The sequence below is a fragment of the Homo sapiens genome, chromosome 6 (assembly GCF_000001405.40).
Source record: "Homo sapiens chromosome 6, GRCh38.p14 Primary Assembly".
Lineage (NCBI taxonomy): Eukaryota > Metazoa > Chordata > Mammalia > Primates > Hominidae > Homo > Homo sapiens.
In genome coordinates this window covers 144,799,796-144,827,320 of record NC_000006.12, presented here as the reverse complement: position 1 = coordinate 144,827,320, position 27,525 = coordinate 144,799,796, and the positions used below count along the sequence as shown (strand labels likewise).

The following is a 27,525-nucleotide window of genomic DNA, read 5'->3' as shown; positions in this document are numbered from 1 at the left end:
GTCACAGAACAAACACTTTAGAGCAATTTAAGACAAAAGCAGTGGGGGTGTGGGGAGATTCTCAATTATCTTCCGCTCATATATGTGGTTGCCCTGAGAGCCACCATGGGGAAATCAAAAGTAACAGAAGTCACAGTGTATTCTAGAGAAGTCGCCGTGTATTCAAGAGTCTGCAGGGGCCTTTTCACAGATATTACAGGATATTTGTTCAAGGATAGCAAACACATCTTTAAACAGTCATACTGGGGAAAAAACCAGAATGCTCAAAAATAACTCAAAATTATAGAATAATGTAAAGATACCATTCTATAATATACCAAGGGGGATGCAATCATATTTTTGTTTTTCCTAGAGAAGAAACTTGGTTAGAAAGATGAAGTTAAAAATGAAACACTACATTATATGTTGATGGCAGAGGTGCAATAAAATTAGACTTTTCTGTTCTTCATGTAATTTTAAATGTAAACATCCAAACCCAGATGTACCCAAAATACCTCAACCTCACACACACATTGAACAAACATGCAACCTAGATACCACCCCTAGATCCCACCAAAAATGTCACATCATAAATAACACTGAAGGCAACTTCCTGAGATCATGATACATTTTCTTCAAAAAAAAGTTTTTTAGAAGTTTAAACTATGAATCGATGCAAAAAAACTTGTTCTGCTTGACTCAGGGGCTTGTGTCTGGAGCCAGATCATTCAGTGTCACTCTTAATGCTGGGGATGTCATATACTGCCTAGGAAGAATTCCCAAGTCTCCATGAAATACTTTTGAAAACAACTGATCCTAATTAAAAGCTAGTTCCAACCCTAGCTTTTTGAGGAGGAAGGAGAGTAAATGAATGTAGAACATTTACAGTACAAAGAAAATTAGCTATTTAATTAAATAAAAGTCTGCAAAAGCTAACAGTGTTTGAAACAAAATTATTCCAAAACTCCTTGATTCTCCTATTTCTATTATACATACCTACTTAGACAAAGAAAGTAGGTATCTATAATGCCTACTTTTCTCTTCATCTCCTATAGTGAAGTGCAGGTTGATGCCTGCACAGCAAAGACTTTTGAACATTATCTTATTGGGATGAAAAACTAAGACTCTTCAGATCTATTTTCAGAACCAGGCATTTATTTATTTATTTATTTATTTATTTTTTCTTTTATTATTATTATACTTTAAGTTTTAGGGTACATGTGCACAACATGCAGGTTTGTTACATATGTATACATGTGCCATGTTGGTGTGCTGCACCCATTAACTCATCATTTAGCATTAGGTATATCTCCTAATGCTATCCCTCTCCCCTCCCCCCACCCCACAACAGTCTCCGGTGTGTGATGTTCCCCTTCCTGTGTCCATGTGTTCTCACTGCAGAACCAGGCATTTATCCAGACTGTTTGTCAGAATATCTATACTGTCAGTAAACTTAATTTACATATGTGTAAAATAGATACAATAACAATAAAACAACATAGTATTAGTCAATACTATTTCCACGTCACTGTTCTTCATTAACCCTGAATATGTTAAATGTCAGGTGAATGATATGCTATATACTTTCTAAAAACAGTAACTGCTTAAGAGATTATTTCCAAAATTCAAGTGTAGCAAAACATATGCCACGAACTTCAAATAGAAGAAAAGTGTGTATTTTTTTTGTCTTAATCAACCTTGGGAAAGCTCTGTCAAATTGCTTGACTGGTTCTTGCTAACTTAATCCAGTTAGCACAAAAGTGATCCATGACCTAAAAAATGAGAATGGCAAGGGTAGAGAACTGAACTGAAGGGTTTCTCAAGTTTTGTTATATATTTGAAAAATTTCTAAAAAAAGAAATAGAGATAAAAAAGTCAAACCTTGGGCTTCATTGACTTCAGAAAATTTTGATTTGTAGAAAAAAAGATTAAATGATAAGCTTTTTCATTTAATTCTGAAAGGAGAAAATAAGAAACTGCATAGTTACAACCTATCATTACAAAGCCTTGGAAATAAGAACAATGTGTGTGTTAGCCCAGGCTTCAGAACGCAGCCTATCCCTGCTCTCCAGCATGGGGGCTGAACAGGTGATTTTGTCAATCACACACTAATATTCCAGAAAGCAGACTCTGCTACAAATACTTAGATATTATATGAAATGTAACCCAGGCCAGCCTCGGTAGCTTGTGCCTGTAATCCTAGCAGTTTGGGAAGCTGAGGCAAGAGGATCACTTAGTATCATGTAAAATGTAACACAGGCCAGGCTCGGTGGCTTATACCTATAATCTCAGCACTTTGGGAGGCTGAGGCGGGAGGATCACTTGAGCCCAGGTGTCTGAGGCCAGCCTTGGTAACATAATGAGACCCCATCTCCACAAAAAATAAACACATTAGCTGTGCGTGGTGTCATGATGCCTATAGTCCCAGCTTCTTGGGAGGCTGAAAATTTCACCCAGAAGTTAATTTACAAACTGATACAAGAAAACTTGTTCTGCTTGACTCACAGGCTTATGTCTGGAGCCAGATCATTCAGCGTCATTCTTAACGCTGGGGGGACACCCCCCCCCACCACCAACTTCACATACTGCCTAGGAATTTCCAAAGAGGAACACTTGAGCCTGGGAGGTCGAGGCTGCAATGAGACAGTGAGCTGTGATTGTGCCACTGCACTCCAGCCTGGGAAACAGAACTGGACCCCGTCTCAAAAAAAAAAAAAAAAAAAAAAAGATATATATATATATATATATATATATATATATATATATATAAATAAAATGCTATATTAATATATATACATATGTATTATATTTGTGTATATATACATATATATACAATATATACATATTTATTGTATATGTGTATATATACTATATATACATATTTATTGTATATGTGTATATATATACAATGTGTGTGTGTGTATATATATATATAATGGTTTTATATATAAAACCCAGATTTTGAAGAACTTAATGACCCTTTTAGTGCCTTAAATTGTCATTAGACTCTTCCTTGTTCTTTGTCTTCTGCCTTCTTCAATCCATTTGCTCCAGAGCAGGGTAAGTGGGATCCCTGCTGCTTTTACTCAAAGACCCCCAAAGGCTCCCCACTGCTCTCAGAATAAACTCCAAACACTTTGGCATGGCTTAGAAGGCCCTTCATTATATGGTTCCATCTTCTCTCTCCACTGCCATTTCTTGCCATTGTTGATAGTTTTCCACCCCAGTTTCTGAAACTATCTTGCCTCCAAGCTTTTGAAAATGCTTCCTTGGACCAGAAACTCTCCCTCTCAACCTCCCACATCAAACACATCATACTTAGCCCTATTAATCTTTCAGGTCTCAACTTGGCTGTCATACTTCCTTCTAGTCGGATGTTAACTGCAACTGTAGTTAAACTTATAGTGTATTTGTTTCTTGCTATAGCAAAGGCTCTTAAAAAAATCTTTAAACTCATTTACTCCCCTTTAACCAATACCAGGGAGAGGTGTCTATTTTACTTTTTTTAATCTTTAGGGAAACCAACCTATCTCTTTAGCCAATAATAATTCTCACAACCCTTGAATTACTTTTGCTACTATTTTAGCTTGTTCCTCAGATTTATTTTCAATGGAGTATTCTTTAATCAAACTCTACTCATTTATTGATTTATTTTCTGGAAAATTTTGCATAGTTATAAAATTAATCGAATAAACCTTAGCATGGATTTGTTTACTCCCTTTTAGTAATAACTCATTTTCCCCATAAATCCCCTCCTCCATGCATGCATGTGTAACTACTGGGCAGAGGACAAAATGCTACATTTTGCAAGGATGAAAAAGAAAGAAGCAAAAGAAAATTCTAATTAGCTTCATAAATAACTTCAACACATTTGCCACTTCGCTGGTTTTTCTCCAATGTTCTCCTCCCACAAATAGGAGAATAAACAAAATCAAACTTTTTTATTACCCACTCACATAAATTGTTACACCAGAAGATTAAGCGGCCCTGTACTAGAAAGGGCTCAGCCGAAAAGTGAACTATATCAAATCCCGAGAGCTTGGTCTAGGATTAAAAAAAGAAAACCTGCCCACTATATCTAGTAGTTCATAAATCTGTCCAAAAAGGATCTTGGTGCATCTGATGCAAGCTTACACTTCTTCCTTTTTTTCTCTTGTTTTCCTCTCACAAAAAATGCTCATAAATTCATTTTCAATTGAATGAATTGAGGCGAGGCATTTTCAGAATTACACCCCAAAATCACAGCACAAAATTATTTGGCATGCTTTTCTGTTAATTTTTACCTAATAGAGTCACTCAGAATAGGATGACTGACACCAATGATTATTTTGACATTGAAAGGCAAATTAAAAATGTTTTAAAGGAGTATAAAATATGCATCTATCTGCATGATTCCTGTAAAGCGTGTAGATATTTGTGATGCAAAATGCCAATGGTTTAGCAAAAGATTAAAAGGCACATCGCTTAGTTCAAACCTATCAAATTATCCCGTAAATTAAAGCACCAAGTAATAATTCTGTGCCTCAGAATTATCCATTCCAAAGGTTAACTGGATGGGATACAAAAAAAGTACAATTTTGTCTTTATCCTAAGGCATCAGCACAGTTAAACATATATTAGATACTAAGACAAATAAGAATCTATTATCACACAACCTTTTGAAGGAAAGGACAAAAGCATACCCACAAATCAAAAAGAGGACCAAAAGTCTACTGTTCCTGAATGTATTCGAACAGCTCTCTTTCAATTGAAATTGCTTTATTAAAACTTTTTCTAAATTGTACTATGCAAAAGAATGTTTAGAAAGACACAGATCTTAATTGTACACAGTTTGATATCAAGTGGAAAGAATATATCTTAAGTGTACACAGTTTGATATCAAGCACAGTAATCACACAGTTGAAATTTTTTCTTACCTTTTGTATGTGTATGTGTTATACATGGACCTATCTAAATATGCATTTGCATTGTATTTCTTTCTGTTTACACACACACGACATTACCTATAGAGGGAAAAAGGTATCTCCTATGCTTTGGCTGTGTTCTTTCTTCTATTTCTTAGCCATTCCACAAATAAAAGAGATAAACTGGTACATAAATTTAGCAAAGTTTGAGGTCTACAGGGATTTAAAAAAATCTATTTTGGTCTGCAGACCAAATACTGTATTCTTCTATTTTGACATGTTTGAGACATTGACTATCACAAAGCACTAAAATATTACTACTTCCTGATTTTCTATCATGTACAAAATAAAATGAACTATGAATCTGAAGGCTAAAGTTTCATTTCACAAAAATTGCACTTGACATTTTTTATACTTCTTACTACAATTTTCTCTATTTTTTATAAAGTAGAAAACTTCACACTTTTGAGTTTCTCTTCTCTAGTCATCTGAGACGGTGTCTTTCTCTGACTAGAACTTCATTATGCTATACAACTGGGCACTCTGTTGATGATTAGTAATAAAAGTTCATTTTCCCCAAGATTCAACCACAAGAAAATGGCCTTAGCAGGAATATTTATCCTGACATATGAAAAAGCAATTCAAAGATTTAAAATCTATCTATTTGGATCTTAACACATAATTGTTTAGTATCTTAAAATTACTTCTTTGCATTTTTTCTGGGTCATTGAAAAACATTTTTTTTCTTTTCACTTCAGGCCATAAATTCTTATTCCCTTTGCTTTATAATCACATGGTAATTTCACCATCTTGAAACTTTCATGTATGCTAACCAACTCAAATTATACACTTTGAATAAATTTTTTCTATTTTATGTAATATATAAAGCTATCTCAGTTTGCTGTCTTCATTTTCAATAAAAAATAGATTAGAATCATAATGTGATACTTTAGAATTTTAGCATAAATATCTGAATCAACAGATTAAGTATTATTAATAAATTTATATTAAAGAGATGCAAAAAGAGTATAAAACATACTCTGAGAAATAGTAAAACACCCCCCATAAGGGGAAAAAAAGGAAAATAAATAATGAAAGACTATATAATGCCACACTTTAAGTGTTTTTAAAAAGAAAAGAGATGACCAACAAAAGAGATGACCAGTGTGTATTAAGGTTGACATATTAATACATATTTTTAAAATTTAAGGACATGTGCAAGGTTAAAATTGAAATTTTGGCTGTGACATTGTCAAAAGTGAATTGTAAAAATTCATGTTGTGAAGACTGATTCCAAGTTTAATTTACCTCCTCTAAAATGCAGTTGGTATTAAACAATTTCTCTTGTGTTACTAACATAAAAAAGACAACATCAGATATAAATGTTCACACTAGATTTAATATTAAAATCAAACTTACGTCTCTAAGTTGTCACCTTCAAGAACTGTCTGGACAGGCAGGTAACCAAGTCGAGGGTGTTTGGCAAAGTACTTCTTCGACCTGAACTTGTTCTTAAGTACCTTTGTGAAGTCTCGTACATCTTCCCCAGATGTTGTCTATAAGGTTGAAAACAATTACACTTCTCTCAGTAAAATGGAAGGCAATAACTATCTATAACAAAATCAGAGCCGATGTAAATTGATGCAATTAAATGTCAACAGTTTTGGTAGTTTTATGCATTTTTGAAATAAAGCAGTCTCATGAAAACACTTGGCAATAAGAACTCATCACTAAATATATCCAGTGATATGTTTATACTTTTTCATTCTCTGTTGAAAATAAACCATACCTAGTTCATTTCCCCAATATTTTAAAACTTGGGCCAAAAAGTATAATTAGTTTTGAAATTTTTCCAAACTAATTTTTCCAAACTATTGGCTGGTTCTTATCACTAAAAAAATTTTCAATTTGCTATTAATATAGTGATGACAGAGTATTGTGGTTTTAACCACAATGGTTTTAACCAAGCTGTGTTAATGGAAATTAGTCATAGAGCCGATGCTGGCTACACACAAGCCAGCATATATTCTAGTGGGGAAAAAGGTAAGACAATAAATAAGAGAGAAAGAGCAGGGCCACATTGGTGCTCTGTTTGGGAAGGAATACTGTCAATTTCTTTGTCCTTTCCCAACTATGCAGACATATAATTATTTTACCTGAACTACATTTTTAATAGTGGTATAAAATGTCACTGTTCCCTTAGGTATTTCTAAATGATTAGTTTGATAATCATTTAGGGTGATATGGACTAACACTATCCCAACCCCACCCACCCCATCATCCTATCCCATGAACTATTGTTCTCCAAGCCCCAGTTTTCTACTGTATATCACAATTCTAGTTTCTATTTACAATACAGATATCAACTGTGATCCTTCCGAAGATGCATTTAAAATATTTACATTACCTGCACAGAACTTAATGAAGCCCATGATCCTCTGGCTCCAACTTGGCTGCTCAACCTACCACTCATTATACCTCACTCCCTCCTCTTAGAGACAGAAAGAGAGAGAGAGAGAGAGAGAGGAGGAGGAGGAGGAGGAGGAGGAGGAGGAGGAGGCGGCGGAGGAGGAGAAGGGGAGAAGGAGAGAGAAACTTTCTTGTAATCACAGACACTGAATGATAAGTATATTTGCTTACCTGCTGCCTGCTCCCTGTCCCTGCCCTTCAGCTTTTCCTTCACAACATGCATGCCCAGGACTCACAGAAACTTGTTTTGCAGACAGAAACTTTTTTTATTTTTTTGAGACAGAGTCTCGCTCTGTTGCCCAAGCTGGCATGCAATGGCACGATCTCAGCTCACTGCAACCTCTGCCTCCCAAGTTCAGCCGATTCTCGTGCCTCAGCCTCCTGAGTAGCTGGGACTACAGGTGCGCACCACCACACCCAGCTAATTTTTGTATTTTTAGTAGACGGGGTTTCACCATGTTGGCCAGGCTGGTCTCAAACTCCTGACCTCAAGTGATTCACCTGCCTCAGATTCCCAAAGTGCTGGGATTACAGGTGTGAGCCACTGCACCCAACCAAAAATTGAAAAAAACAAAAACAAAAACCAAACTATTTTTGAAAACAACTAAGTTCTGAGTTAACCCTTATATAGTTTTGCCACTTTCTATCCATTCCCCTTCTATCAAAACATGTCTGCTTCTAGTCAATAATTAAGGGAACTTTTGATTCTCTTGGCTTGCAAAGCAGAGATGAGACATGATTAAGCCGCAGCTACTTATCATTTAAAATTCATCAGTTTTTACACTGACAAAACAAACAACCTGCAACAAGGTGCCAGCCCCATGCTATCACCAGGCTTTGCCATCAGATTCACAATGACCCATCTTTTCCTGAATAACTGAATATTAACTACATAATGATCTGCAGTTATATGGATATAGGGCTTCCCAAATGCAAAGCAAAAGTGCAGAAGAAAAAGGTATTCATGAAAAGAAAAAGAATTCAAGGAAACCCTGTGGAGAAAAAAGGGTTGTTATAAGATCTGACGGTTTGAGAGTATTCAGCTCTTACCAGGCAGAAAAGGAAAAAAAAAAAAACAACAGATTGTAGTTGGGAGCAAATAAGGAAACTTTTAGAGAAGCAATATCTGGGTCTCAGAATAAAGCCAAAAGGATATATCATCTACTATAAACGATTTTCACATCTTTTGCAATGGTTATCACAACTGCAGATAATTTAGTGTAGAGATATGCTTACCCTAAATGTCTTGGTAAGGAAGGAAAAAAAGAAGTTTCCATAATAGAAATGCATAAAGAGGACCCGTGTATAAGAATAAGCATTTATGACCCAATTTATTTCTTTGTCTGTTCTTAGTACACTGTTAATATAGAGAAATACTTAATAAGCAATGGACTCCAGCTTTTACTTGGGAGTAAACTCCATACCTAGCAATGTAAAAGTTTTGATCTCTTAGGCCAGTGGTTTTCAAGCCATATCCAGGTCTTCAATTCACAGCCCTGAGTGGAGTGAGTGGGTGAGAGGAAAGGCCAGGTGGGCAAGGCATCAGGCCCCTTACCCAGTGTGCCTCAGAAAGGGTAAGGTACAGTTTACACTTCAGTGGTTTTCAGTGAATTCATAAAGTTAAAAAAAATCACCACTATCTAATTACAGGTCATTTTCATCACCCCAAAGAGAAACTCTGTACCCATGACCCTTCGCCTCCCACAACCCATGGCAAGCATTAATCTATTTTCTCTATGAATCTGCTTATTCTGGACATTTCATATAAACAAATTAATATAATATATGGTCTTTTATGACTTGCTTCTTTTACTTAGCATCAGTTCTTCTAGTTTATCTATATTTGAGTTCCAACATGAACTCTTGCTTGTGAAAAAAATGACAAATTATTCAAAAGTGCCAGTTCAATTCCACAGCATACATTCTTTAGCTAAATATTTTCAAGACATGAAAGACCAAAGCAAAACCACCAATAACAAAAACAACCCCTTTCTATCCCATGCACAAAATAACAAACAACTACTTGCTGTCCCCAAAAGTTATAGTAGTTATTGAAATTAGAGTTTCTAATAATACTCATATTTACATGTTTTTAAAAGTTAGTACACACACAGAAATAGCTTATTTTTATTTCCTTGGGGAAAAGCTAGCACAAAGAGTTGTAATCTAAGAGCATTAACTCATTATTGCCATAAACTTTATGCAATATTAAAAGAAAAAGTGAAAAGTAATTCATCCCAAGGAATTAGGGATTATATTCAGGTTATCAGAATGTAATTCTTCAGCTGGGATAGAGCCAATAAAGTGAATTTAACCCATTTTTGCACCGAAATGTTAAAACATTTATATATACTTGGTCCAATTTGATTTTTATTATATAATAGTAGTACCTAATATTTCTCTATTTTAAAATGCTAAAGTAATGGTTTGGTTTGGAAAAAAAGAAAAAGAAAGAAAGAAAAAAGAGAACCACCCACTTACCATAATAAATATAATCAAACTCAACTCTGCCTTTACACTAGGTATAATACATTTTTCTTTTTTTTAAGGAAATAACTTTTGATATTATGATAGAAAGATAAAATTGAAAGGAACAATCATTACTACACAAATTACCCAACATTTTAAATGCATTTCTTGGAAGATTCGGTTTCTGTTTATTTCTGTAAGAAAAGGAGAACAGATTTTGCAGATCCCATTAGATCAAACACAAGGGTAACAGGTTAGCATAGGACCTTGTACCTTATAAATTGTTTTCCTTCAATCTCATTTAACCATCATGGCCTCTGAGGAGATTATCATCAGGTTTTTGAAGCCTAAGTAAACTCACACTAAGCCTTTGATGGACTCCAACCAAGTTCAGTAAGGAAAAAAATGTTCTTGAAAACTTGAGCCTTTTTACAAGACTATGTCACTGCTTCTAGAAAAATGGAACTGTTTTAAGTTTTGAAAGGGAAAGAATCCATAGCCATTGACTAAAATATCTAATATTGCATCCTAAATTTGTCCTTCATTTTAAATAATGTACTGATTAGATGCCATGTGGTTGGTTTTCTAAAAAATTATATTAAAATGTCATTTTATAAATAGGCTGGATGCAGTGGCTCACACCTGTAATGCCAGCACTTTGGGAGGCCAAGGAGGGCAGATTGCTTCAACTCAGGAGTTCGAGACCAGCCTGGGCAACACGGCAAAACCCCATCTCTATAAAAAAAAATTTAAAAAAAAAAAAAAAGGAAAAAAGCTAGGCATGACAGCACGTGCCTGCAGTCCCAGCTACTTAAAAAAGATTTAAATGGTGTATATAACACGTTTGGTATAAGTACAACTAGAAAGAAAAATAAAATATACATGAAGGAATAAAAATAAAATAAAAATTGCCAGCTATTTGACCATCCAGAGACAGCCATTTGTAAAATTTTGGTGACTAGACTGATTTATTTTTAGAATTCTTTTTATTTTAAAGTAAAACAAAATATATACACAAAAAAGTATGGCTTAATGAAATATTATCAGTCAGAAAATGGAACACTGCTGCACATTCGAGAAGCCGCTTCCAGGCAAAACTTTCTTCCCCTCTCCATTATTACCATCAACTTCATTTTTTGAAGTAGTACATAACTTGAATTATGTTTCAAAAATAGTTTTATCACTCCAATGTCTATCCTTAATTTGTTTTGCTTATTAAAAAAAAATCTGACATATTTTAAATCACTTTTAATTTACAGGTCCCTCCTCCACACCTGCCATTTCCCTACAGTTTGTCTGTTGGAAAACTCAGGCAATTTGACCTGCAGAGTTTTCCAGAGTCTGGATTTTACAGAATGTCTATTTTTGGTACAGCTCAGTACTTTCGTCTGTCCTCTTGATAACCTCCTACAAATCTGCAACTTGATCCAGATAATGCAGCAGACTTTTGTCAAGACAATTAGTGGTATTTGGCAGTGTTATAGGAGGCACATAATAGCTGTCACCTCTCTTAGGTGATCTTAGCAGCTGTTCATGCTAAGTGTCCGTATCCATTCATTGGGAATTGCAAAATGGTGTCATTCTATCATTCATTTTTCATTTATTACTTGGAATACTTTGTGATGGTTAATACTGTCAACTTGATTGGATTGAAGGATGCAAAGTACTGTTCCTGGGTGTGTCTGTGAGGGTGTTGCCAAAGGAGATTAATATTTTAGTCAGTGGACTAGGAGAGGCAGATACACCCTCAAACCCGGTGGGTACCATCTAATCAGTGGGCACCATCTAATCACTTGCCAGTATGGCTAGAACAAAGCAGGCAGGAGAAGATGGAAGAGCAGACTTGCTGAGTCTTCTGGCCTTCATCTTTTTCCGTGCTGGAAGCTTCCTGCCCTCGAACATAAACTCCAAGTTCTTCAACTTTTGGACTGTTAGACCAGTGGTTTGCCAGGGGCTCTTGGGCCTTCGGCCACAGACTGAAGGCTGCACTGTCGGCTTCTCTACTTTTGAGGTTTGGGTACTCAAACTGGCTTCCTTGCTCTTCAGCTTGCAGACAGCCTACTGTGGGACTTCACCTTGTGATCATGTGAGTCAATACTCCTTAATAAACTCCCATTCATATATACATCTATCCTATTAGTTCTGACCCTCTAGACAGCCCTGCCTAATACATACTTTTATAAAGAAACATCACCATGTCTAACATTTAGGTACTCTGTGGTACAGTTCATTTAGAAAAGTCAGGATAAATATTTTACTGTGTTGACTAATTTTCAGTATCATGAAATGGTTTCCTATTATTTTCCAAAGATGATCAATGCTTTTGTTCATTTTAAATATCATGAGATTTTAATGTATTTGATGGGTTTCAATCTATTGCAATTCTCATTATTGAAGGTCAAGTTCAGTTGGCAACTTTTAATGTGACTCTAACAGTCTTCAACAGCTTCCTTATTAGCTACTATTACAAGATGTTCCAAGCACACCTTTTAGGCCTTTTCAGTGTTAACAGGCTTTTTCTTTGCACAGAGCTGGGAAATATGCATTTGAAGGTAAAATTTCTCTTGAAGTTACATTGATGATTCCAATTCAAATTTCTGATTTAACTTAACTTGTTTTCTAATACACCTCTATCTCCTTTTTTCAAAACCAAAAATCTGGTTCTCAAGGACACAAGAGATGATAGACCTAGACAATCCCATAATTATTCATTTGCTTTTTATCATATTACGTACACAATAGTCTTAGAACACTAATACCAATACTACCACCCACATGATTAGTGAAAACATTAAAATATAGATTTACTTTTCCATTTTCCTCCCATTCATAAAGTAGTTACACTGGCATGCTTTATTTGTAGTGATATAATTTTGTTCCTTATCTCTTTTTCTTAAAATTCCTTTATATGAGATTTGGTCTTGATACTTTTGTTGCTCATTTTTTTGGTTGTATAATTAATTTTCCTAAACTTTTATAACAAAATGAGGTTGAGGAGAGCTTTTCTAACTTCACAGAGATTCCTCTTCTTTTGCTTTTGTGTGGTATTTACAATTACAGCATGTGTCTCAATCTATTCAGTCTGCTATAACAGAATACTATAGACTGAGTGGCTTAAATAAAACAGCAGAGATTTATCTCTCACAGTTCTGGAGACTGGCAAGTCCAAGATCAAAGGATTGGTAGATCTGTGGTCCAGTGAGTCTGCTTCCTGGGTCATACACAGCCGTCTTCTCACTGCGTCCTCCCATGGTGGAAGGGAAGAGAGAGCTCTCTGGGGTCACTTTTATGAATGTACTAATTTCATTTATGACAGCTCCATCCTCATGACCTAATCACTTCCAAGGCCCCATCTCCTAACACTATCACACTAGGGATTAGATTTCAACCCATGAATTTTTGGGGGACATAAACATTCCATTCATAGCAGTACTTGAGTTTGAGACTTCCTGGTCCTGTTCCCCCATACCCTCTACCAGCACGTAGGAACAGTTTGGACTAGGCCTTCTCCTTTCATTTCTGTTGCCTTGAGATGCTCCATATTGATTCTATTCCCAGAAGTTTTGCTCAGCATGAGACCTTCTTTCTAGAAGGAAGCCCTGATGGGTCCAGTCTGAGAGCTCACAGCAGGCAAGAGCATTCTAGAAATGTCACACCTTTTTTACCCTAGCCTCTGCGCATGGCAAAACCCTTCCAGGTTTAGCTCTGCTCTCAAGCCAGCTTTCCATTAAATATCTGTTGCCTATTTTGGGGGCTATCTGGTTCTTAGGCACCCTCACTTCCTTGTCTTTCCTCTCATACAGGCAGTGATGTCTTGTACGTTTTGTGGCTGGTGGTGGCTTATCGCCACCTGGATTTATTTTGGATCTCTCTTGTCATCTAGTTTGGTTGCAAACATTGTACGTTTTAGTTTTGCTGTCTAGTTATTCTCTTTACAAATGTCTCTTTATAAATGTAACTGCTTTACCAATGGAAGGAAAATGGCAAAGGCAAAAGACATGGAAAAACTCTGGGCCAGGTGTGGTGGCCCATGCCTGTAATCCCAGCACTTTGGGGAGGCCGAGGCGGGCGGATCACGAGGTCAGGAGATCGAGATCATCCTGGCTAACAAGGTGAAACCCCGTCTCTACTAAAAATGCAAAAATTAGCTGGGCGTGGTGGCACATGCCTGGAATCCCAGCTACTCAGGAGGCTAAGGCAGGAGAATCACTTGAACCCGGGAGGCAGAGGTTGCAGTGAGCCAAGATTGCGCCATTGCTTCCAGCTTGGACAACAAGAGCGAAACTCCATTTCAAAAAAATAAATAAATAAATAAATAAAAATAAAAATAAAAAAATAAAACAACAACAACAAAAAAACTCTGATGCCATGCTACCACCATCTTCCCCAGATGCCTCTGGACTGATTTTCAACAAGCACATAAAAATTCACATGTACAAATTAGGGCTGTCCTTGAAATTGTCATTTTTGGAAAGCTAATGACAGTGACTCACTGTGAAAAACATTTTAGAACTGAACCTACACAGATAAGTGGGCATGTGAATTCTGAAAATGTGCTTTACTCCACTGTACTGCTATTAAGTAGCCGTAAAACAATGAAAACTTACCTGTATAATAAGAATTAATCAATTTTTTACTTGTTCCCCACCAACTAATATAAATGAATAAATAAAATATGGAAAGTATCACTGAATTATAAAATGTACCCTGTGATACATCTATCTGTAGCAAAACCCTAAAGAAAAACCCTAAACAAAATCACTTTTAAGGCGAAATCAAATAATTTTTTACTTTTGAGATTGTATTTTACCAACCAAAATACAGTTAGGAAATTTTCAATTTTCTTCCATTTTATCCTTGACAGAGAACAAATATAGATACATCACATGGAACATAATTTAGAGTTACTCTATCTTTTGCTTGAGTTTGTATATCTCTATATGAATGCATGTGTATCCTTCTATATGTCCCTGTTCATATTGCAAACTGTATAATCTTACTTTATGCTGAAATCTATGCACTACTGAACTTCAAAAGCATTAATACATGGCTGAAAGTTCCCTTTTCACTAATATGTATCACAAGAAGCAGCAAGGATAAGGTATAGAAGAATCTAGAATGTAGAAAAGCTAACCCCCTTCCCCCAGTATTCATAATCAAGTGATCCTTGAATAAACGGCTTTACTAGGTCAGCTCAAAGGACTCTTATTATTATCCCCAAAGACCGGCAAAGCAACACATGAAAGGAAGCTATTTACAATGCTACCAAATAACCTAAATCCCGTAAATAACTTCTAATTACCAAACAATTTAAACAAAACAAGATAAAGAACCACAAATAAAGAAACAAAACAAAACAGAAAATATTTGTTTTAATTCTCCCCACAACTTTTTTTTGGGGAGTCACTTCTTAACTTGAGATATCAGTATTAACTAATTCCTTAATGCTCCAAACAGTGGATTTAAATTGTTAATTACAAATATGAATAAGTTACATACAGAGGAAAACAAAGGCTTACAAAGAGGCAAATCAAGGTTATATAAAAAAAGTCACTTGGCACGCAAACAGAATAATTAAACATTATCATTTGGATCATGCACAAGTGCTAAAATCATTGTTGAACAGCACCCTCATTAGCAAGAGTTACTTCTTAAATATAGAAACCAGTAGTCCCAACTGGTACATGCATACTGCTAAGCGGTACATTTCATTATCACAAGACTTATTTTAAAGATATTCTTAACAGGTTTTTTTTTTTTAACTATAAAACAACCTCTCAGTTTTTATTTAAGTTTCAATGATTTCAACAAGTTGAAATTCAGACACATTTGAATGCCATGGATAGGATGCAATCAGTAAGAAAAGCTCAGAGACTTTCAAGCCCTAATGAAAATATATGAAGCTAAAAAAATTAGCATTAGCAGAATTACCAAGGAGTCAAGAATCAGTGGGATGATAAGTCATCCAAAATAAAATGGATTTTGCCCAAACCTCACCTTAAAAGCTAATGACAAATCTAAATGCACTGGACCTACTGGTAAAACGATGTAAGGAGAGCAGGAGCTGAAACACCACTTCAGGATGCTGAGGTCAGAGAAACAGCCGTGATGCTGCGTTTTCAGTATATTGGCAAACACCCCACATCACATCTGAAGAGACAAGACTGCCAAAAAACAAACTACCCTAACTCAAGGTAGAGCTTTCCAAAGAATGAATCAGCATTTTTAAAATATTTGATTTTTATAGTCTTACGAAGTACATTGATGCTGGCAGGGGTGGAAAGGATTGATCAAAACAACTGCTTCTAGATTTTTTTCTTTGTTCTTTTCGGGTGTTTTGTGTGTGTGTGTGTTTTATTTTTGCCAATGGCATATAGTTCATAAAAAAAAGGCACAATTTATCTTTTAAAACAGAAATTCGATATTTTTTACTAGAAAATTGTAATTCTTCTCACTGAAAATATGATTCTTCTCATGGAAAACATGTAATTTTGGTTTATTTCCCTACATATTAATCAATATCAACAAGAATACAGTTGAACCTCTTGCTTTTAAAACAACTGTATTTGCTTAAAACCTGCAATATAAATCTGTTTTGAGTGGTATTAATTTAATAAGCTGTTTCTCATTGAGGTATTTTTTTCCTGTTGTTGCCTCTTCTCACTAAACTCATCAAAGTTACCAGTACAAACTAGTCCTATGTAAAGCTCAGCAACTAAACTATGACATTGACAATGAATCTACCCTTGCAATTGAAATGCTGGAAGTAGCTGATGCTGTTGACCTTTCAAGCTACAAAATTTTGCAAATATCCTGTCTCTTCTCCCTCAGCTAACATGTCTCTCAAACTACCTTTCTATCCTGGCTAACCTTTCCTTGCTTATTTCCTCCTTCTTTCCTTTTACTATTTCCTCCATTACCTTGCTCTATTTCACATTTTCTCTCCATGGATGGGGTTACTGTACCTCACTATATGCATACAGCCTATCTATCTACCTTTCTTTCTCCATTACAGTGGATTCTGTGTTCTTTTACACATTACCTTACATTTTGTTCATAATTAGTATTTCAACCTATCTCCTTGAATCAATCCCGAAGCTCCCATGATAATGCCATTTCCTATAACATCTTTTTCATTTGTGGCTGTATAATCTCTTTTTCATAACAACCAAGAGAAAAGGATGTTTACACTTGGCAAGGGTTCAGGACACACTACCTCCAAATATGGCACATTGGCAGTTGAGAAAACAGCAGACGTAGCAAGATCTCTCTGACCTTCTCCCATCCTTCTTCCCTAAAGGGTCATAAGACCCTTATTTGAGAGGTGCCCTCCTTATTCCTGGAGGGAAGAAACATCCTTATCACTGAAAACAGAAGGACACAGAAAAGAATCTGAACAAACAGGCCTTGCTAAGTTCGCCTAGTTCATTAGCATTAGGTCGTATCTTCTTATTCAATCATACTTCTACGCAACTGTCCACTCTTCATCAAACCTAAGCATAAAAATACACAGGCTTCCGTTTCTTTGGGTCTTCTCTTCCTGATGAAGGCTTCCATATAATGTAAAATTTATATTAAATCAATTCGTATGCTTTTCTCTTGTTAATCTGTCTTTTGTTACAGGAGCCTCAACTATGAAACTAAGATGGGAAGAAGATATTTTTTTCCTCTCCTACACACCCTTTTCCCCTTAGCTTCATCTACTAAAGCCAATGTGCCCTTCCCCTCTCCTTTGATGGCACAACGCCAGACAGGGCTATCATCTGTCACTTCACTTCTAGAAATGCAGTGATGACCTTCTAAAAGCCATCTCATTTCTAGAACCTTCTATGTCCCACTTCAGTCACACATTGGGGTATGGCCATACCCCAGGCCTCATCATAACTTAAAACCACTTTTAGTCCAAAATCTCTAACTTGAAAAAATCTTTCACTGACTGGAATCTTCTGACTCTTCTTCTCACTTCTTATATTATAAATAAACCTCTTCTTTCCCCATCATCTTGACGTCTAGCCCTTTATCCCACCTTGGGATTTCTTCAGCATGAGGATACCTCAAATCAACCACAGTATCATTAACACCTTGGAATTTTTCACTCCCTTGGCCTTCAAATATACTTTTCATCTTTTAATTCCAAAGCTGCTGAGCAATGATGGAGTCACAAACTACAAATCCTTGTCAATTAACCTCAGCTGCACTCTAGTGGCAAGGTAGCAATCAGTTTACTCATCTCTGTGTGACTCAAGATTGACCCTAGTAGCTATTCTAAACATTTTCCATTATCCTTAGTATTTAACCCTATCCACTTCTCTCTCACTGTCAGCAATTGTATGAACTTTTATAAATCATGTGAAATTTAAAGAAGAACTCTCCAACTTAAAGAACTATCTTTGGTTCAGTCATTATGAAAAACAATCTAAAGGTTCTTTAAAAAATTAAAAATAGAACTATCATATCATCCAGTAATCCCACTTCTGGGTACATATCCAAAGAAAATAAAATCATTATCTCCAAAAGGTATTTATACTCCTATGTGCACTGTAGCATTATTCACAATAGCCAAGATATGGAATCAAACTAAGTATCCTACAACAGAAAAATGGATAAAGAAAACACAGTGAAATATATCCAGTCATAAAAAAAGAAGGGAATTCTGTCATTTGCAATAACTTAGATGAGCCTGGAGGACATTATACTAAGTGAAATAACCCAGATACAGAAAGACAAATACTGCATGATCTCACTTATATGTGGGACCTTTAAAAAAAAAAGTCAAGCTCATAGTAGCACAGAGTAGAATGGTAGTTACCAGGGGCTGGGGGGTGGAGGAAAAGAGAAGAGACTGGTCAAAGGGTATAAACTTTCAGTTATATGATGAATAAATTCTGGAGACCTAATGTACAGCTTGTGGCTACAGATAATACACTTGAAATTCACTAACAGACTAGATCTCATCTCAAAAAACAAAACCACACACTATCTTTTATATGCTCTAACAACATATGAAAATGTTTCTAATTTGAATTAAATTTTGGTTACTTACAACAAAGATGATTTTAAAGAAGATCTGAGTAGGGTAATTTTCACGATGAAATTAAATCATCATAAATAAAAAAGAAATTTAAATCTGAACATCTTTAATATAAGATATAACTATTTATTTAAAAAATGATAATCCCTGAATTCAAAGGTTTAATGCATGGATAATACAAAAAAAAATTGACTACTCTCTTGATTCATAAGCTTAATCATTCTAAAAAATATTACAGTCTTGTTGAATTTCTCCACATAGAGGTATTTTTTCTCCTTCATGAAATTTTCTCTCTATTTCCAACTCCTAGCAAAATGCCTGGTATGTAAAAGGGTATTCAACAAACATAATATTCCAGCAAGGATATACACAAACCCCTATTTTCCAATGTGCTAACTGCGTGTGTGTGTGTGTATTTCCCTAATGGAGTTAAGTCACTAAATCCATACCATTAACTTTGCACAAATCACTTACCTTCTCTAAGACTTAGTTTTTTCTTCAAAATAAAGATAAGTTAGATGATCTCTTAGAGCTTTAATTCCAGCTTTAATATTCTATAACTAGTATTTATAAAGTCAGATACGAGCTCATCTGGCTTTTATGAGGCAAATTTAACTAACACAGGGAGAAAAGTATAAAAGTCATCCCAGTCCTCAAGGAGGTAAAAAGATAATTGAGAAGACAAAAACACCACAGTTAGAAAATGATACAAGGGAACATAGAATCAAATCCTAATTGGTAAAGTAGAGGCTATTGGCAGAGGCCCCTGAACTAAGTGCTTTGATGAGGGTAAAACTGGAGGAGCTGGGAGAGATTTCACACACAAAGTGGGAGTTGAGCTGTTTTTGTGAGAAGGTGGGATTTGGACATATGGAGACAGAATGATGACAGGCATTAAATATCATCTGTGTCATGCTGTCTCTTGAAGATCAACTCTTATTAAGCCTAATGAAAGAATTCTTAAATGTACAAATTTGGATTATAGAATAGTAGGGGGAAATAAGACAAAAAATCATTTCCTAGAGAAATAAAAATTCTGCTACATTTCTTCAGATAATTTATATATACATATATAAATTATCAATATCATAAAATACTTTCATGAGTCATGATAGTTCATTCATATACCATTAGTCTTCTTACAGCTAAAGGAAAACATTACCATAAATCATAAGCAGATATATTGGCAAAATATTTAGGGTGCTTTGTGGATTTAAAATAAGGTTTCTAAATTGCAGAAAGCTCTTAAAAATAGAAACATTCAGAGTCAGCTGTAAAGGACTTTGAAAAGGAAAGAGATGAAGTCAGTAAGGTGACTGGAGCATCTTCTTAACTAAAAAGGGAGATGCAGTCTGAGGAATGCAAACATCAAGGTCCATATGGGAAGGTCTGATCCATTTAACACTCAAGTGTTGCTTATTATCACTGTACCAAACAAATTCACACTTGAGTTCATTTTCTAAGGCAGACATGAAACGACTTTAGGAAATGTTGAGTAAAAGATGGATGAACCATAAATAAAACTTAAAAGAGTAGAGCAAATGTAAAGAATGTGGGTGAACAGAAAGAAATTTCAGAAAGCAATGATTTCTGAATACTTGCATTTATATTTTTCCTGTTTTCTACATTGAGAATATAGTACATCTAAAATTTGTATTTCGAATGAGAGAGAAATATGTCCAGACTTGATACCTGGTTTAGGCACAAGAGTGAGCAAGCAAAGGTTTCTTCAAGCTAATGGTGACTTAATTATTGCACAAAGATTACACATGAAGGGAATGAATATAAGAACAATTCCAATAGTAAAATGGGGTCCAGTTGGAATAGGTCTGATTAGTTTAGTTGTAAAGAGATGCATCTTTCTCTGTGGCTTCAGAGAATGAATGGAAAGACATTAATGCTACAATAATAGCAATCAGATCATTCATTGCTATTAAATGCAAGTATCTTTTTAAAGATTCAATTTACATATATTTCTAGTTATTTTACAAAAAGTTGTAGGGTCAAATGCAGAAAGTGACCTGTCATACAGATGATTTATAAGTAGGCTGTTGATAAGATCACTACAAAGCCTCAGAAATGGGCAAAGGATGTCTTGAAAAATGAAGCTATCCTTGTATAATGCAGGATAAGCTGCAATCTTGGAAATGATAAACAGTGACTTTTGAAAGACTATGCAACAAGAACAGTTTTGGGTAACTTACAGATTTCATTTAAAATTGGTAGTTGGAGAGTGGAATTCATATGTGTATCAGTGATTCTTAAGTATGCACCTACTGCATGACAACTGTTGAAGATATGTGGGTTTCAAATTGTTTAGGTATTTTGTAAAGCCATTAAGAATTATTATATGTTCAAGACCAAGAAAAATAGTAATTTTATATATCTTTACTATAACAACATATATTTACTTTATGATATTTTGATACTAGCATTTTATAATCAGTTTTCTAAACTTCTATAATAGCTATTCATGTAAATATTACTATGATATTTTCCCCCAATCCAAATTCCTTACAATGATCCCCAGGGTTCTATACAATCTGATAGTTGCCTTTCTTTTTAATTCCATCTCCTACTATTGTCTCTCTTTTGTCAAATTTGTCCTGGTTTCTTTCTGTTCCCTGGTTACACCCACCTCTTTCCCAGCCTCAGGGTGAGCTTCAAAGATATTGCACTTATGCAGTTGTACAGGGCCCTACAATCAGAAGGGCTTTGAACTATTGCACTTATGCAGTTGTACAGGGCCCTACAATCAGAAGGGCTTTGAACTTCATTTACTCCTCTGATGTTGCCAACTCGGAAGTCTTAATAATTGTTAAACAAGGGGCCCCCCAGTTTCATTTTGCACTGGGCACTTCCAGTTGTGTAACCAGTGCTCCTTTCCATGCGCCCCTTGGGGAACAGGCTTCACTTTCTGCAGCCCAATCACGCTAACCTTTTTCCCAACTCAGACCACTATATGTTCTGTTTCTTCTTTCTGAAACATGCTTCTACTAGTTCTTTACAGGGCTGAATCTTTCTCAAACTTTGGTCTCAACTCAAATGTCAACTCAGACAAACCTTACTGATTTCTTTATCTAAAATGTCTCTTCTAATCATTCTATCTCATTATCCATTCATTTCCTTAAAGGCACTTACTGCAATGTATAACAACCCCATTTATTCGTTTCCTTGTTCATTCTCACACATTCTTCCTCCTAAAGGGAGAGTAGCAGGAAGTCCACAATCTTATCTTTCTGGGTATACTCTGATACACTATCAGAGCTGAAATTACTGACAAGGATTCTCTCCTTGACCAAATTTGAGTTGGCCTCCTGTAAGCTCTGTTGTCTACTGAAGCCTTGGCCTATAAAAGCTGCAAATTTTCAGCACAAATCATTTTGTCCATCCCTGTCCACCCACTTCTCCATTAAAAGACTTAAACAAACATGAACATAATTTATAACAGTTCAAGACCACATCCCTAGGATGACCCTTAAAAAAGGGATTATTAAGGCGTCTGACCCCTTAAAGCGTCTGCCTGAAAAACAAACTCCAGACTGCCAAAAGAATTTACTGTTCACTCTAGCCAACACCTGAAGACAGGTCCCTGCTCACTCTTTCTTAGGGCATTTACTGGAAAGGGTTTACAATGGGGAATCCTTCCTCTGTCCCTTTGAGATGTGGATGTATCTCCAACAACTCAGGAGTGTCTTTCTCAAGGATCTGAAAACCATTTCTTTGAAATGTAATCATCAGGAAGGATAGGACCCCTGTCTCCCAGTCTCTCTCTGGAATGGTAGAATCCTAACTCTGACAATTGCCAGCTCACAGACACAGCTGGTCTGATGGAACTGATGCTGACCAATGCTTTGTCATTTTTCACTTCCTTGCCTCTGCTCAAGTCCCTCTTTTGTTTCCCCAGTCTATTCCCTTCTGAAAACACCCAGTCACCTCTGTACAAACAGAAATACATGTGCATAATCAGTATATTATTGATTAAAATCTGTCCTTACCACTTTAACTAGTGTCTGGTTTTGCTTATCTTTGACAAGAGGGCCTGACACCTGCAAAATGTTCAATATTAATTTGTTGAGTGAATAAGTTGATAATAGTAATAAATGATGTCTCACAAATTTTCTTGGGGAGATTTCTTTTTCCTGGTTAAAGCTATAATGTGATGTGGGCACTTCCTCCATTATAATTCAGCAATATTTTCTACAGATTTCCTCTCCATACACAGGGCACTTATTTATTTGAGATAAGATACCTATGAGTGTGAGATTTATATGTGTATATTTTATAAGTATTACAGCCTTTCTGTCAATTTATGATCCAAAAAAGTAACTCAATTCCCTAAACCAAAGAAAATAGACAGCTTGATGAATACATTTGGGCATTATTTGGAAGGAAGTAAAAGAATAGCTATTAATAGAACATGAGGATAACTTCAGGAAAAAATAGCTGTAAATCAAAGGAAAAACAAGAACTTATGTCCAATACTGGTGGGGCTTAGTAAAATTGAAACTTTAACAAAGTGTGATAATAATGTAAATTGGGATAAACCTATTTTGAAAAAAACGTTGACATCAAGTATTTTGACCATAAAAAATACCCATATTCATTGACTGAAATAACCTACTTATAGTGCTTTATTCTATTGCAATGTAGTTTACATAATATCTGGAATGAGCTACCCTCACAAAGATACTTGTAAGAGTGTTATTTATAACATCAGAAAATTGAAAATAAACTATATGTCCAAATTTCAGGGAATGGTTAGGTAAACTGTAGTAATTCACTCAATTAAAAATTTTGTGACTAAAAAAAATTACACTGTGTGACGAAATGGAATGTCGAGTGAAAAATATCAGGGAAAAAGATACATAAATATAAATATAAATAGAATCTTAAAACCAGAGATATGGAAAAATTAGAAGGTAGTTTATTCAGGAGCTAGAGTTAGGAACTATATTTTTAATATCTCCATTTTCTGTATTTTGCTAATATGAATATGGTATTTAACTATGAAAGCATAAATATGTCTAAAAGAAACATGATTTTTCGTTACATAGTATCATTTTCAGTGTAGGTCAGTATCAGCTCTTAAAAGAATTTGCTACCAAAAAAGTTTAAAATCAAAACACAGATATTTAAAAAAGTTAATATTTTTTTCTGCACTAATTAATTCAACATAAATGAGTTTACTTAAAAGAAAAAAAAAATCTTCAAAGTGATATTTTTTCAAAAAAGATTAAGTCTAAATAAATAATAAAATTTTAGATACTAGTTAATTCAATGGCAATGTATTAAAAACAAAACAGTGGGTTAGTACTCACAGGTATACAATATTCCACCATTGGGTAATGTAATTTGTGACCTTTTGCTGTTCGACCCGAAAAGAAACAACTCTGGCAGACATCATAGTTAAAATGCTTAAGGCTTCTATACCTAGAGAAAACAAAAGAAAATTTATTGGCTTGCATTACTATCATTTAGTCTAAATTTGTGGTAAGAAATTTCATTCATCCGAATTACCAAAAAATAAAATATAAAATTTTGGAGTTCAAGTCTCTGAAACATGCTTCTATCTGTTTATACATGAGAGGGAGACAAATATGCATGTCAGAAGATTTCTTTTAATGTTTGAATACGAATGGAAAATGATAGGCAAGAAAAGAATTATATCTATTAAGTTGAAACATCAAATTTTAAAATATCAATTATACCACCAATAAGAAATGAATTTTAAAATTCCCTCACAAAGATACAGTTTTCAACAATGAGCACTTTTATATTTGGTTTAAATTAGTCACTAGAAAAAAAAGAAATCAAGAAATACTGTGTAACAAAGGAAAAACTAAATAAAGCCTTGATCACAATGCATCCTTGAATGGAAATGGTGTTTTAAAATCTCTGGCGTAAGAATGACACTGCACATTGACTTGTACTTGCAGAATCTTATTTACAAAAGCAAAACCTTAGACGATAAGTTTCTATGGGTCTGAGTGGAAAACATCTTCTCCGAAATCTGTTCTGTCAGAATTGCTGGTAGAACTAAGAACATAAATTATACCCACATCTACAGAAAAAAAATTAAATGATAGAACCAACAGAATGAAAATGGAAGCAAAATTTAAAAGTTGTGTGGCTGTAAACTACTAAGTACTGAGTAGCTTCTAAAATGACCTGAAAAATCACTTGCAAATCAATCTTAAGGAAATCATTCTGCATATACTACAGCCAGCTTACTTTTGCCAAGGAGGCTATTGGTTTGAAACAATCACATACACTAACGACATCTCTTGGCTTATCAGCATGGCTTGACAGGTATGACTGACATCTTCTTTCTAAATGAAATTTTGTTTTCTGCTGAATACTCCCTTGGCAGATAGCCATTCTCTCTTTTTCATTGGTAACATACCCTTGTACTGTTAGCACATTTTAGCAATGAGCCTTGAGAAAATTACTGTTTCTTAGCCTCTCTTGCTGATGTTGGTGACCAGTGCAATAAAAACCAAAGTTATTGGGTGGGGGTTCTAATTGGAATTTCAAGGGACTGAGTTAGCTGGGAAGAGGCATGCTGCCTCTTCCTCCCCACTGGAAAATGGATCTGACATCCAGAAGAGTCACTTTGTTAGCATGAAGTGACTTTGAAGATGGAAGCCACATGTTAGGGATGACAGTGCATGAAAACAGAGCTAAGGGCCCAGGTGGTCACAGAGAACAGTCTTGGATTACCTACCTTCACTCTGTTTACAAGAAAGAAAACTAAAGTTCTAATTTATTTATGCAACTACTATTAAGGAATTGTGTATGATTCTAACTGAAACAATTCCCAGCTTACAAAACATTATGTAAATCTAAGATTTCATTAACATTTTATTTGGAAGTAATTAGTGAAAAACTCTAGCAGTATTTATAAAAGTTCGGGGAAAATGAAATATATATATATATATCTTGGGTAGAAGCTTGATAGAAAGACAGTCTGAATGAAGTTAAGATTATTCTATAATAGACATATTCCTCTATCTTTATTTCTGTACTTGTCTTTCCATTCATTCTCTGAAGCCACAGAGAAAGATGCATCTCTTTACAACTAAACTAATCAGACCTATTCCAACTGGACCCCATTTTACTATTGGAATTGTTCTTATATTCATTCCCTTCATGTGTAATCTTTGTGCAATAATTAAGTCACCATTAGCTTGAAGAAACCTTTGCTTGCTCACTCTTGTGCCTAAACCAGGTATCAAGTCTGGACATATTTCTCTCTCATTCGAAATACAAATTTTAGATGTACTATATTCTCAATGTAGAAAACAGGAAAAATATAAATGCAAGTAAAAGTAAGACAATATATCACTTACCATCTTCCAATTTTCAATATCCTGACATATTTTAAGTTATAGCTAGATTTCTTAAACAAGTTGTTTGCACATATTCGCCTATGTATTTTCCTGAGCCATCTTTATAACGACACGGATAGAATCCTCTCTAAGATTCCCAATGACTTCTGATTCAAAGAATCTTTCTGATGCACTTAACACCTCTACCATCTTGCTAAAGCACACTATGCGTCTTTATTTCTCTGAAGAATCCTGTTCTGTCCCTTATTATACCTCTCTCTAATCTTGCCTTTTACTGAGCAACATCATTGTCCAGGTTTTTCTGGCATTTCCACTTAATGGAAATGTTCAACAACACACTCATAGGTTTAGCTACTATCACACTAATGATGTTATTGGTAGTAACAAAAAGAGCCAACATTTACTGAATGCCTACTCTGTGATAGGAACTGCCCTAGATACTTTCATGTATTAACTATTCCTATGAGGAAACACTCATAGAATTTGAAGTTGAAGAAACTCAGGTTCAAGCAGGCCAAGTATCTTATTCAAAGTCTCAGCACCAAACAATAGATCCAGGATTGAAATCCAAGTAGCCTGACTCCAGAGCTACTTCTCAATACACTATCTCCTGAATATCCTCCCATAACCTTAATCTCTGACCTGCTGGTCAACTTCACATCTCTATCATAGAGACATTTACAGGTCAATTTGATAGTACTAGCAGAAACTTAAACCCTTGAAATTTAACACTTCAGGTTGTTCACCCTTTATAATTGCTCTTTCATATTTTTCTTATTAAATATTTCAAGTTAATTCAAAAGTAGGGAGAATATAATAAACATCCATGTCCCACAACTCAGTTAAATCTTAATATTCTACATAGTTGCTTCAGGTCATTTTTAATTTAAGAAATGAAACTTTAAAGGTCATTCAAATATTTAATGTTTTTAGAGTATTTTATCCTCTCCTTCACTCTCTACATCCATCAGATGCTGAGAAACATGGTCCCTCATGGCATCTCTAGGTTATACCAATGGCCATATATGGCAGATTTTATATATATCTATATATGGCAGTCTCTTCCCAAGTCAATTAATCTGGATCTTTCCCATGGCTTCACATTACCGTTTATATCCAGAGTAATATTTTTGGTCTAATAATTAGTGCTTTAAATCAATTGCTCTTTTCAATACCATTTAATTACTTCTTAATATTAAATCTCTCTCTCCTAAAAATCTAATCTGCTTTTTAAAACCATCTTGATTAAGAACACAAACTGGAAAACCAAAGGGTTCTGGATTTGAATCCTAACTTTGTCTCTGCACAATCGGCTGCCTGG

The 27,525-nt window shown here is 35.1% G+C and overlaps 1 protein-coding gene across 2 annotated transcripts in view, besides 2 other annotated features; it reads right to left on the bottom strand.

The window, feature by feature from the left end:
- Window positions 1–27,525, bottom strand: part of UTRN (utrophin) — a 567,700-nt gene that overhangs the window by 25,714 nt on the left and 514,461 nt on the right. For both annotated transcript variants that reach the window (NM_007124.3, NM_001375323.1), the window contains 2 exons: window positions 24,174–24,285; window positions 6,303–6,439 (listed from right to left, as the gene is read on the bottom strand). In NM_007124.3, the coding sequence (NP_009055.2) occupies window positions 6,303–6,439; window positions 24,174–24,285 (249 nt within the window). The remainder of the gene's footprint in view (window positions 1–6,302; window positions 6,440–24,173; window positions 24,286–27,525) is intronic.
- Window positions 13,117–13,618: an enhancer, noted in NCBI's record as "NANOG hESC enhancer chr6:145134839-145135340 (GRCh37/hg19 assembly coordinates)". NCBI's record gives its function as "activates a minimal SCP1, AML or CMV promoter by ChIP-STARR-seq in primed H9 embryonic stem cells {active_cell/tissue: H9 hESC(primed)}" and the evidence as "EXISTENCE:reporter gene assay evidence [ECO:0000049][PMID:30033119]".
- Window positions 20,821–21,021: a silencer, noted in NCBI's record as "peak6190 fragment used in MPRA reporter construct". NCBI's record gives its function as "represses an SCP1 promoter by STARR-seq MPRAs in K562 erythroleukemia cells {active_cell/tissue: K562}" and the evidence as "EXISTENCE:reporter gene assay evidence [ECO:0000049][PMID:32103011]".